We start from the raw sequence: 13,370 nt of genomic DNA, 5'->3' as shown, positions 1-13,370 counted from the left end.
GGCGCAGTGGCTCATACCTATAATCCTAGCAGTTTGGGAGGCCGAGGCAGGTGGATCATTTGAGGCCAGGAGTTCAAGACCAGCCTGGCCAACATGGTGAAACCCTGTCTCTACTAAAGATACAAAAAATTAGCTGGATGCACTGGTGCGTGCCTGTAATCCCAGCTAGGGAGGCTGAAGCAGGAGAATCCCTTGAACCTGGGAAGCGGAGGTTGCAGTGAGCCAAGATTTTGCCACTGCACTCCAGCCTGGGCGACAGAGCGAGACTTTGTTTAAAAAAAAAAAAAAAAATCTCATGAAGGTAGGGTACATTTTATAAATGGTGGTAAACTATGTTCCCAAGGTCACACAGCTGGTAAATGCAAAGAGCTGGGATTCAAATTTAGTCAGTGTGCTTCCAGTGTTCTCTTACCCACTTCTGTGTAGTGCCTTTTTGTTAATCTCAGGTTTCTTGAGGTGATCTGAGCTTCAGTTGACATTTACCCGTGGATATTCCCCTTTTGAAAACTTCTCCAAGAATGACTTGTCCTTGCTACCACATCTTTTTCCTGGGTTACTTCCTGGCTCTGTCAATTTTATGTTTCTGTAATCCAAATTAGGAGAAACTAATTTGTATGTTATCCTAAACTAGACAGTCTAGGAATGAGTTTGTTTTTTTTTTTTTTTTTGAGACAGGGTCTCGCTCTGTCACCCACGCTGGAGTGCAGTGGCACGATCTTGGCTCACTGCAAGCTCCGCCTCCTGGGTTGACACCATTCTTCTGCCTCAGCCTCCCAAGTAGCTGGGGCTACAGGCACCCACCGCCTCACCCGGCTAATTTTTTGTATTTTTTAGTAGAAACAGGGTTTCACTGTGTTAGCCAGGATGGTCTCGATCTCCTGACCTCGTGATCCGCCTGCCTCGGCCTCCCAAAGTGCTGGGATTACAGCCGTGAGCCACCGCGCCCGGCCGAGTTTGTTCGTTTTTTAAAGAGACAGGGTTTTGATAGTTGCACAGAGTGGACACAAACTCCTGGGCTCAAGTGATCTTCCCACTGCAGCCTCCCAAGTAGCTGGGATTACAGGTATATGTCACTGTGCCCAGCAAGAATGAGAATTTATCCCCACAAATGCTGTAATGCATTTGATGATCAAATACAAGTGACTTCATAATTTTTGTGTGCATATAATTTTTAAAAATTCTTGTTATACCATATTTACATACCCAGCATTCATATTATAAGCATTTTTGTTTATCTTTAGATATCCTTTAACAATATTAACATATTAGGAGGCTCATGCTAATGTTATTAGATGAATACCACAAAATTTATGTAACCATTTTCCTCCTTTGGGAGTTATTTAGATTCCATAATCCATTTAGATTATTTCCAGTTTTTAAATAATTATGAACAGCACTGCAGTGAAGAGAATTTCCTGTAAATCTTTTTTCACATCTTTGATTATTTCCCTAAATTAGATTTTATTTTATTTATTTATTTTTTTAAGACAGGGTCTCACTGTGTCACCCAGGCTGGAGTGCAGTGGTGCATTCATAACTCACTGCAACCTCGAGCTCCTGAGCCTAAGTGATCCTCCTGCCTTAGCCTCCCGAGCAGCTGGGACCACAGGCATGTGCCAACACACCCAGCTAATTATTTATTTTTTGTAGAGATGGGGTCTCTGTGTTGTCCTGGCTGGTCTCAAATTCCTGGTCTCAAGTGATCCTACCATCTCAGGCTCCCAAGTGCTGGAATTACAAGTGTGAGCCAGCATGCCTGGCCCCTCGATATTTTGATCTTATGGGACTGCCATTGTATGTGCAGTCTAGTGTTGACTGAAATGGGGCATGCCTGTAAACAAAACATTGTTATTAACTATAGTCACCATGTTGTACAGTAGATCTCTTGAACTTGTTTCTCTTGCTTAGCTAAAATTTTGTTTCCTTCTCCCCAGTCACCCCTCTTCAGCCCATTATCTCTCTGCTTCTGAGTTTGACTTTTTTAGATTCCACATACTAGTGAAATTATGCAGTATTTGTCTTTCTGTGTCAGACTTATTTCACTTAACATAATGTCCTGCAGGTTCATTCATGTTACTTAAAATGGCAGGATTTCTTTCTAAGACTGAATAGTCTTTCATTGTGTTTATATACATTTTCTTTCATCTGTTCATCCATTGATAGACTGACACTTAGGCTGATTCCATATCTTGGCTGTTGTGAATAATGCTGCAGTTAACATGGGAGTGCAGGTATCTTTTCAACATGCTGATTTCATTTCCTTGTATATATGCCCAGTAGTGGGATTGCTGGATCATATGGTAGTTCTGTTTCCAGTTTTGTGAGAAACCTCCATACTGTTTTTCCTAATAGCTGTGCTAATTTACATTCTCATCAACAGTGTACAAAGGTTCCTTTTCTCCACATCCTCTCCAACAATTTATATATATATATATATTTTAATAGCCATTCTGACAGGTGTGAGTTGATGTGGGGTATTTTTGTTTGTTTTTGGTTTTTTGTTTTTTGAGACAAGGTTTCACTTCCATCACCCAGGCTGGAGTATAGTGGCATGATCATGGCTCACTGCAGCGTCGACTTCGTGGACTCAGGTGATCCCCCCACCTCAGTCTCCCGAGTAGCTGGGACTACAGGTGTGAGCCACCATGCCCAGCTAATTTCATTGTGGTTTTAACTTGCATTTCTCTGACAGTTACCAATGTTGAGCATTTTTTCACGTACCTATTGGCCATTTGTATGTCTTTGGAGCAGTGTCTTTTGAGTTCTATTCCCATTTCTTAATTGGGTTGTTTTGTTGCTGTTGAGTCATTTCTTTATGTATTTTGGATATTAACCCCTTATTGGATGTATGGTTTGCAAATATTTTCTCTCTCCCTGTAGATTGTCTCTGAACTCTGTTTTTGTTTCTTTGGGTTTTTTTTTTGAGACGGAGTTTCATTCCTGTCATCCAGGTTGGAGTCCAATGGTGCGATCTCGGCTCACTGCAACCTCCGCCTCCCAAGTTCAGGCGATTCTCCTGCTGCAGCCTTCCGAGTAGCTGGTATTACAGGTGCCTGCCACCACGACCACCTAATTTGTGTATATTTAGTAGAGATGGGGTTTCTCTATGTTAGCTAGGCTGGTCTCGAACTACTGACCTCAGGTGATCTGCCCACATCAGTCTCCCAAAGTGCTGGAATTACTGTCATGAGCCACCGCACCCATCCTCTTCAATATTTTATACTTATTAGTGTATGGGTCTTTCACCTCTTTGAATAAATTTATTCCCAAGCCTTTTTTTTTTGGTAGTTATTGTGAGATTGTTTTATTTATTTCTTTTTTGGATAGTTTGTTCTTAGTACATAGAAACACTGCTGATTTTTATACATTGATTTCCTTATGCTACTACTTAACTGAATTTGTTCATTAGTTCTAATAGTTTTTTGGAGTCTTTAGCGTTTTCTATATGTAAGATCATGTCATCTGCAGACAGAGAAAATTTTACTTCCTTTCCGATTTAGATGTCTTTTTATTTATTTTTCTTGCCTAATTGCTCTGTCTGGGACTTACAGTACTATGTTGAATAAAAGTGGCTGGAGTGGGCTGAGGCGGATAGATCATGAGGTCAGGAGATCGAGACCATCCTGGCCAGTATGGTGAAACCCCGTCTCTACTAAAAATATAAAAATTAGCCGGACATGGTGGCATGCACCTATAGTCCCACCTACCCAGGAGGCTGACGAAGGAGAATCGCTTGAACCCCGGGAGGCAGAGGTTGCAGTGAGCTGAGATTGCATCACTGCACTCCAGCCTGGGCGACAGAGCGAGACTTCATCTCAAAAAAAAAAAAAGTGGCTAGAGTGGTCCTTGTCTTTTTCCTGATCTTAGAGGAAAAGCATTCAGCTGTCCACCGTTGAGTATGATGTTAGCTGAAGTCTTGTCGTATATGGCCTTTATGTATTGAGGTACATTGCTTTTATACCCAATTTGTTGAGTTTTTCTCATGAAAGTATGCTGAATTTTGTCAGATGCTTTATTTATTTATTTATTTATTTATTTATTTATTTATTTATTTTGAGACGGAGTCTCGCTCTGTCGCCCAGGCCAGAGAGCAGTGGCGCAATCTCGACTCACTGCAAGCTCCGCCTCCGGGGTTCACGCCATTCTCCTGCCTCAGCTTCCAGAGTAGCTGGGACTACAGGCGCCCGCCACCACACCCGGCTAATTTTTTGTATTTTTAGTAGAGACTGGGTTTCACCGTGTTAGCCAGGATGGTCACGATCTCCTGATCTCATGATCCGCCCGCCTCAGCCTCCCAAAGTGCTGGGATTACAGGCTTGAGCCACCGCGCCCGGCCTGTCAGATGCTTTTTTGCATCTGTTGTGATGATCATATGGTTTTTGCCCTTCACTTTGCTTGTATGGTTTATCACATTTATAGATTTGTTTATGTTGAACCACCCTTGTATTCCTGGGATAAATCTCACTTGATCATGGTGAATGCTTCTTTTAATGGGCTGTTGAATTTGGTTTGTTAGTATTTTGTTGAGGATTTTTGCATATTTGTTCATCAGGGATATTGACCTGTAATTTTCTTGTAGTGTCCTTGTCTCGCTTTGGTATCAGGGTAATGCCGACGTCGTAAAATGAGTTTGGAAGTGTATCTGGAAGTATTCGTCGTCTTTGATTTTTGGGAAGAGTTTGAGAAGAATTGGTACTAGTTTTACCTTAAGTGTTTGGCAGAATTCTTCTGGTCTCTTGATGTTTTCATTGCCTTGCTGAGCATAGATCCAGGTACTTATGAGCAAAATTCTACTCAGTCTGACAACTCTGCTTAGAATTATGAATGTGATTAAATGCAGTGGTCACTCTACCTTTCTAAGGTAGTTCAGCTCAAGTTACAGCGATCCAGTCCTGATAGAGCTTTGAAACCTCAAGTCTATTATATAACGTAATGAAAAATTGGCTTGGTGAGGTGGTTCACACCTATAATCCCAGCACTTTGGGAGGCTGAGGTGGGTGGATCACTTGAGTTCGGAGTTCAAGACCAGGCTGGGCAACATGGCAAAACCCCACTTCTACCAAAAAAAAAAAAAAAAAAAAAAAAATATATATATATATATATATATACACACACACACACACACAAAAAAAAAATTAGCTAGGCATGATGACATGCGCCTGTAGTCCCAGCTACTCAGGAAGCTGAGGTGCAAGGATTGCCTGAGCCCAGGAGGTGGAGGTTTCAGTGAACCAAGATCACACCACCATATTCCAGTCTGGGTGACAGAAGGAGGCCCTGTCTCAAAAAAAAAAAAGCGGGGGTGGGGGGAACACTCATTTTTACTTAATAGGAATTAAAACATTAAAACACAGAAGCCTGCAGCCATAAAAAAGAATGAGTTCATGTCCTTTGCAGGGACATGAACGAAGCAGGAAACCATCATTCTCAGCAAACTAACACAGGAACAGAAAACCAAACACCGCATGTTCTCACTCATAAGTGGGAGCTGAACAGTGAGAACACATGGACATAGGGGAACATCATATACCAGGACCTGTCGGTGGGTGGAGGGTAAGGGGAGGGAGAGCATTAGGACAAATACTAATGCATATCTGGGACTTAAAACCTAGATGACAGGTTGATAGGTGCAGCAAACTACCATGGCACATGTATACCTATGTAACAAACCTGCACGTTCTGCACATGTATCCCAGAACTTACAGTAAAATAAAAAAGCAAAAACACAGAGGCCAAATAATACTTTTCAATACAGTGCAGAAGTAGTGCCCAGGCTTAAAAAAAAAAAAAAAAAAAAAGTCCAGCCTGGGCAACATGATGAAACCCTGTCACTACTAAAAATACAAAAAATTAGCCAGGCATGGTAGCTCATGCCTGCAGTCCCAGCTACTCAGGAGGCTGAAGTTGGAGGATCACCTGAACCCAGGAAGTCAAGGCTACAGTGAGCCAAGATTAAGCCACCACACTCCAGCCTGGACCACCTAAGTGAGACCTTGTCTCAAAAAACTGAAGAAAAAAAAAAAGTACCAGGCATTTTTATCTCCTCTTTCCTCTCACTCCCCTAGTAAAGTTACCTGTACACACACACATACACACACAGTTGTTAACACTTGTATTATCCATGTACCACAAATTTTCGGAGCCTGGAATTAAAGTATGTGCTATCCTTCAGGAATGTGAGCCAGTAAAAGTTATTAAACATTTATTGTCTGAATAATCTTGCCCCTGACTCTGTAACATGGAAGGATGATTAGGAGACAGGCTGTGGTCTTAGGAAGGTCACTCTCAAATTGAAAAGTTAGAATATGCAGGGAGAATACTTCCCTGGTACCTGAATAATAAAGAATTCAAGAGAAAACTCTGGATCAGAGATGAGTTAAGTAATAATAAGTAGATCCCGGACAGAGTATCCTTGCCAAAGAGAGCAGTGGTATAAATAGTACCTTTGGGGGAATCAGGGTGGGGACAGGAAACAGGATGGGAAGAGGACCTGTTGTGACAGGTTCTAAGGGTATAGTTTAGAAGCAGGTTTCCAAATGCCTTGAGCCACATGTGTTCAGCAGCATGAAGATGGTTTGTGGCAGATATATTTCTAGATTTTCAGGAGAGTAAGTCTAGAGTAAATACCCATCTCTCTTCCTTGCTGTTTCCTCTAGCCTAGAGTTGTGAGGTCACAATTGCAAGTGACTTTACGGTCCCCTATTGAGTTAAAGATGGAGAAGAAAAAGGCCTTTGAGCAATGGCTAAACATTATTCAGGTCAGTCATATAGTGAAATGTACTAGTTGGGAGATTCTTAGTTATTTGGGCTAACAAAATTACCTGTTGAATGGATTGTTTCATTGTAACAGACCATAAAGATGACTGATTTTGCAGAGTCTGATTTGATAAACTTGTAATTTTTGAAGTCTTTGGTACTGCTTATTTTTCCCAGAGCAGCATTTTGGTGTCTCCCTTAGGTTTAAGCTACATTTCTTGGAACCCAGGAGTAACGGAATAGGGAGCAGTGTAGGATAAAACTTTCCCCTTGATTATCAAAAGGAGTCTTTTGGCTGGCACCGAGGCTCATACCTGTAATCTCAGCACTTTGGGAGGCCACTTGAGGCCAGAAGATTGCTTCAGCAGGAGTTCAGCAGCAGCCTGGGCAACAAAGTGAGACCCCATCTCTTCAAAAAAATTTTTAAAAATTAACCAGGTGGTGGCATGCCCCTGGTCCCAGCTACACACGAGGCTGAAGCAGGAGGATTGCTTGAGCCCGGGAGGTTGAGACTACAGTGAGCCGTGTTTGTGCCACTGTACTCCAGCCTGAGTGACAGAGTGAGACCCTGTCTCAAAAAAAAAAAAAAAAAAAAAAGTCTTTTTAGGTAAGCCTTTGGCTCATGGATGAGAAGAATCAGATATTGGCAATGACTTTTTTTTTTTTTTTTTTTTGAGACGGAGTCTCGCTCTGTTGCCCAGGCTGGAGTGCAGTGGCGTGATCTCGCCTCATTGCAACTCTGCTTCCTGGGTTCACACCATTCTCCTGCCTCAGCCTCCCGAGTAGCTGGGACTATAGGCGCCTGCCACCATGCCCAGCTAATTTTTGTTATTGGATTTTTAGTAGGGACAGGGTTTCACCATGTTAGCCAGGATGGTCTTGATCTCCTGATCTCATGATACGCCCGCCTCAGCCTCCTGGGATTACAGGTGTGAGCCACTGCACCTGGCTTTTTTTTTTCTTTTTTTTTTTTTGAGACAAAGTCTCACTTTGTTGCCCAGGCTGGGGTGCAGTGGCATGATCTTGGCATACTGCAACCTCTGCCTCCTGGGTTCAAACGACTCTCGTGCCTCAGCCTCCCAAGTAGCTGGGATTACAGGTGCACACCACCATGCCCGGCTCTTTTTGTTTTTTTTGTTTTTTTGTTTTTGTTTTTGTTTTTTTTTTTGGAGATGGAGTCTTGCTCTGTCACCCAGGCTGGAGTGTAGTGGCGCCATCTCGGCTCACTGCAACCTCCATCTCCTGGGTTCAAGTGATTCTCCTGCTTCAGCCTCCTGAGTAGCTGGGACTATAGTCTCGAGCCACCATGCCCGGCTAATTTTTGTATTTTTAGTAGAGACGGAGCTTCACCATGTTGGCCAGGCTGGTCACGAACTCCTGACCTCAAGTGATCCACGCACCTCAGCCTCCCGAAGTGCTGGGGATTCCAGGTGTGAGCCACCACGCATGACCTCCAATTTTACTTTTTAATTCAAGTGTGTAAACTTCATTTTTGAGCCACAGCATGAATCAGAAGCTGGGCTGGCCACCCTGGGTTTTTGGGGGCTAGGGGAGCTGTTGTTTTTTGTCTGTGTTTTTTTTTTTTTTTGAAGGCAGTGAAAGGAAGGCAGAAGAGAACTAATGAAGTACTGAAAGACACTAGATTGTGAGTGGCGAGGCTATGCTGGGAAGTGAGCTCTCTAGAGATCACTTTATCCCCCATTCCCCACGGAAAAATGCCTTTGCCAGTACTTTATCTTCTCCTCCTTTTCCCATCAAAAAACATGAGGCTGGGCGGTGTGGCCCATGTCTGTAATCCCAGCACCTTGGGAGGCCGAGGTGGGGAGTTGGAGACCAGCCTGGCCAACATGGTGAAACCCTGTTTGTACTAAAAATACAAAAATTAGTCGGGCATGGTGGTGCACACCTGTAATCCCAGCTACTCAGGAGGCTGAGGCAGGAGAATTGCTTGAACCCAGGAGGCAGAGGTTGTAGTGACCTGAGATCGCGCCACTGCACTCCAGCCGGGGCAACAGAGCAAGACTGTCTCAAAAAAAAAAAAAAAAATACAGCTGAGATTTTTTTTGTTTGTTTTATTTATTTATTTATTTATTTAATTTATTTATTTTGAGACGGAGTCTCGCCCTGTGACCCTGGCTGGAGTGCAGTGGTGCCATCTCAGCTCACTGCACCCTCCACCTCCCGAGTTCAAGCGATTCTCTTGCCTCAGCCTCCTGAGTAGCTGGGATTACAGGTGTGTGCCACCATGCCCAGCTAATTTTTGTATTTTTAGTAGAGACGGGGTTTCACCATGGTTGACCAGGCTGGTCATGAATTCCTGAAGCTGAGGTTTTCTCACTGGCACAAATCTACCCTGAAGGCACAGGTGGTCCTTTTTCAGATGCCACCCAGGAAAGCAGAGAGTGTGACATCAGAACTCTAATAAAACCTCTTCTGGTCGGGGGCAGGGAGCAGAGATGAAAGCACTTTTGAATTTTCCAGTAGGGAAAAAGGTTTGTTCCTTAATTAGAGGTAGTCTGGGAAATGCTAGCACTTGTGCAGGTGCCCCAGGAGAGTTGGAAAAGCTTAGTTCTGTGGTCACTGTGATACCATAGTCCCCCTGCCTTGGGTAGCTAACGTAGCATACCAGCTGGCGTTAGGAAAACTAGCTAAAGCTCACAGAGAGGCTCTGCCAAAGTGATCGATCTTTCTCTGTAATGTCTGTAACTCATTTGGCCTGCTCCAGGTTACTACTTGATTCTCTTCAGCAGTTAAGAGTTGCATTCTGAAACACTTTCAGAGAGTAGTGCTAGTGTTGATTTCTGGATCTAATTCTGGAAATACCAGCTGTAAAATTATATTGGAATTTACATTTAAGAAAAAGTCAGACCCCAGTCAATTCTGTCCAGGAAAAAAAAAAAAAAGAAAACAAAAGAAAAATAGAAAAAGCCAGATGGTAATCAAAAGGTGTGGGTAGTTTGAAGCTTTTAAATAAAATGCCTCCACTCAGCCGCCAGGCCTCTGGAGGATTCCTTTATTCTGACATCTCTGCTTTCTAGAATATGTTGTGGGGAGAGGTTGTTTCATTCTTGTTTCATCACAACCCTCATGACCTTGCCACAGTCTGAGCTCATTCCGTACCTTTTCTACCCTAGCAGGATCTGATTCTTGACGTCAGTGAAACTGGTCAAGGGGCTTGTGGACTTTCTTAGTACTGGAGGAAGTCTTCTGGAAAGGATGACAAATGGATCCCAGAATTCTTTTTTTTTTTTTGAGACAGAGGCTCGCTGTGTCGCCCAGGCTGGAGTGGAGTGGCATGATCTCGGCTCACTGCAACCTCCGCCTTCTGGACCCAGGTGATTCTCCTGCCTCAGCCTCTCGAGTAGCTGGGATTACAAGCACATGCCACCATGCCCGGCTAATTTTGTATTTTTCGTAGAGATGGGGTTTTGCCATGTTGGCCAGGCTGGTCTCAAACTCCTGACCTAATGTGATCCTCCCACCTTGGCCTCCCAAAGTGCTTGGATTACAGGCGTGAGCCAATGTGCCTGATTGGATCCCAGAATTCTTTTTTTTTTTTTTTTTTTTTTTGAGACAGAGTTTCACTCTTATTGCCCAGGTTGGAGTGCAATGATGTGATCTAAGCTCATTGCAACCTCCACCTCCCAGGTTCAAGCAATTCTGTCTCAGCCTATCGAGTAGCTGGGATTACAGGCACCCACCACCACGCCCGGCTAATTTTTTGTATTTTTTTTTAGTAGAGATGGGGTTTCACCACGTTGGCCAGTCTGGTCCTGAACTCCTGACCTCAGGTAATCCACCCGTCTTGGCCTCCCAAAGTGCTGGGGATTACAGGCATGAGCCACCGCACCTGCCCTGGATCCCAGAATTCTTAAAGCAAGGATCACAAATTATGGACTGTAATCTTAGCAGTTCGTTTCATGCCAGTGAGAGCTCTAGAGTATTCTAGACTTGTGGAAGTTTCTTCTTGGGACTGTAATCACGGAGGACCTCAAGCTCTGTTTCTTACTGGTTCACTCCTTCCTGCCCAAACCAAAAGTTGACTTTCTGGAGTCTGCTGAATTCACCTCTTATCTTTACTTCTTTGTTTGCTATCAATAAATTCATTAATGCCTCTTTGCCATAGTTTAGCTGTTTTTTCTTTTGTTTTGTTTTGAGACAGAGTCTCGCTCTGTCGCCGAGGCTGGAGTGCAGTGGCGCGATCTCGGCTCACTGCAGCCTCCGCCTCCCCAGTTCAAGCGATTCTTCTGCCTCAGCCTCCTGAGTAGGTGGGACTACAGGTGCCCACCGCCATGCCCAGCTAATTTTTCTATTTTTAGTAGAGATGGGGTTTCACCATATTGGCCAGGCTGGTCTCGAACTCCTGACCTTGTGATCTGCCCACCTTGGCCTCCCAAAGTGCTGGGATTATAGACATGAGCCACCGCGTGTGGCCCTAGCTGGTTTAATTCTCTCTGTTCTTTTTTTTTTTTTTTTGTATTTTTTTTTTAGTAGAGATGGGGTTTCACTGTGTTAGCCAGGATGGTCTCGATCTCTTGACCTCGTGATCCGCCCGCCTCGGCCTCCCAAAGTGCTGGGATTACAGGCATGAGCCACCGCGACCGGCCTCTCTCTGTTCTTTCTATTGAAATCCAAAGATGTGGTTTGAGGGGCAGTATGTTACAGGTCACCTCTTAGGATCCACATCTCCTACTCATCTCTTGGTTGCAGGTATCAGGATTTAATAGATGTGAGATTGCAGTAATCATTCAAACGTTGGCTCTTTCTGGATTCATAAAGTTCCCTGAAGAAGGAGAAAAAAAGACAAAGATTGGTTCTTTCCAAAAAATACTGGGAAAAAAATGATATCTGCAAGACCACTGAGTGAAGGTGTTTTTGTATCCCCATCGTCAGAGTATTAGCTATACAGATGTGAACGTTTCTTAAGGTTGAGGTTTTTGGTTTATCAGTGATTTTTTCCCCCTTATTTTAAAATTATTATTATTACTATTTTGAGACATAGTCTCGCTCTGTTGCCCAGGCTGGAGCTCAGTGGCGCCATCTTGGCTCACTGCAAGCTCCGCCTCCCGGGTTCATGCCATTCTCCTGCCTCAGACTCCTGAGTAGCTGGGACTGCAGGTGCCCGCCACCAAACACCTGGCTAATTTTTTGTATTTTTTAGTAGAGACAGGGTTTCACTGTGTTAGCCAGGATAGTCTCGATCTCCTGACCTCGTGATCCGCCCACCTCGGCCTCCCAAAGTGCTGAGATTACAGGCGTGAGCCACCGCACCTGGCCTTTAAAATTATTTGTAGAAATAATATACATGCCAAAGTATAAAGACAAAAAATTGCCCTCAGATAGTAGCGGCTGTTCATGTTTTTCATGTTAAGACGGAGTCTCGCACTGTTTCCCGGGCTGGTGTGCAGTGGCAAAATCTCAGCTCACGACAACCTCTGCCTCCCAGGTTCAAGCGATCATCATGCCTCAGCCTCCCGAGTAGCTAGGATTACAGGTGCCCATCACCACGCCCGACTAATTTTTTGTATTTTGAGTAGAGACGGGGTTTCACTATGTTGGCCAGGCTGGTCTCAAACTCCTGACCTTGTGATCCCCCTGCCTCGGCCTCCCAAAGTGCTGGGATTACAGGCTTGAGCCACCACGCCCAGCCAGTGTTGTTATTTTATATATGTTGCAAAATACTAAATATATGGTTTTCCTTTTGCTCTTGTTCACTTAACATTGATACACACTGAAAGGTAAAAAGACTAATCATACTCTACCTTCCTCAGTTATTACTTACAGGTGTGTATCGGCTTCCAAAATCGTAAAAAGTAATATTCCAGATCCGATGATTGAGGCCAACTGCAGAGTCCAAGAAAGCACTCTCTTATTTAGTGTTCTGAGTTTTCCTGTTCTTTTATAAAGCCTTCTATATGCTGTCTGACCTTGGATTTAGCAGTCTTTTCATTTACCTATCTTTCCCTTAGAAGGCCAAGATGGGACTCTTACTAGCTAGGGAGCATCATTGCACCCTCTCCTTTAAAAAAAAAAAAAGAAAAAATATATATATATACACACACATATATATACACACACATATTTATACACACACACATATATATATATAATTGCCTCTTAATCATAGACATTGTGACCCTTAGAACCTTCTGAATGTACTATTCAAAATGGAAACTGATATGGCCCAACACTGTGGTTCACGCCGTAATCCCAGCACTTTGGGAGGCTGAGGCGGGCAGATCACGGGGTCAGGAGATCATGACCATCCTGGCTAACACAGTGAAACCCTGTCTCTACTAAAAATACAAAAAATTAGCCGGGCATGATGGCGGGCGCCTGTAGTCCCAGCTACTCTGGAGGCTGAGGCAGGAGAATGGCGGGAACCCAGGAGGCGGAGCATTGTAGCCGCCGAGAAGGCGCCACCGCACTCCAGCCTGGGTGAGAGAGCAAGACTCTGTCTCAAAAAAAAAAAAAAAAATATTAGCTGGGCATGGTGGTGCATACCTGTAATCCCAGCTGCTTGGGAGGCTGAGGCAGGAGAATCGCTTGAACGTGGGAGGTGGAGGTTGCAGTGAGCCAAGATGGCACTGCTGCACTCCAGCCTGGCTGATAGG

At 44.0% G+C, this 13,370-nt stretch overlaps 1 protein-coding gene and 1 long non-coding RNA gene across 29 annotated transcripts in view; one reads left to right on the top strand and one right to left on the bottom strand.

Annotated features, from left to right (window-relative positions):
* FAM222B (family with sequence similarity 222 member B) overlaps positions 1 to 13,370 on the top strand; it is a 99,025-nt gene that overhangs the window by 71,199 nt on the left and 14,456 nt on the right. For 2 of the 28 annotated variants that reach the window (NM_001288637.2, NM_001288636.2), the window contains one exon: positions 6,657 to 6,758. The exons of 24 other annotated variants lie outside the window; for them this stretch is intronic. The gene's annotated coding sequence lies outside the window, so the exon portion shown is untranslated. Of the gene's footprint in view, positions 1 to 6,029; positions 6,759 to 10,015; positions 10,092 to 13,370 lie in introns of those variants that run through there. 2 more of the 28 variants (NM_001288633.2, XM_047436384.1) reach the window with 2 other exon arrangements.
* On the bottom strand, positions 255 to 13,012 carry LOC124903965 (uncharacterized). The gene is made up of 3 exons (XR_007065689.1): positions 12,539 to 13,012; positions 11,427 to 11,539; positions 255 to 583 (listed from the first exon to the last, which is right to left on the bottom strand). It is a non-coding gene; the product is annotated as an uncharacterized LOC124903965 (long non-coding RNA).

This window comes from Homo sapiens, chromosome 17 (genome assembly GCF_000001405.40).
Source record: "Homo sapiens chromosome 17, GRCh38.p14 Primary Assembly".
Classification (NCBI taxonomy): domain Eukaryota; kingdom Metazoa; phylum Chordata; class Mammalia; order Primates; family Hominidae; genus Homo; species Homo sapiens.
The sequence above is the reverse complement of the archived record's forward strand: the minus strand, read 5'-3'. Positions and strand labels throughout refer to the sequence as shown.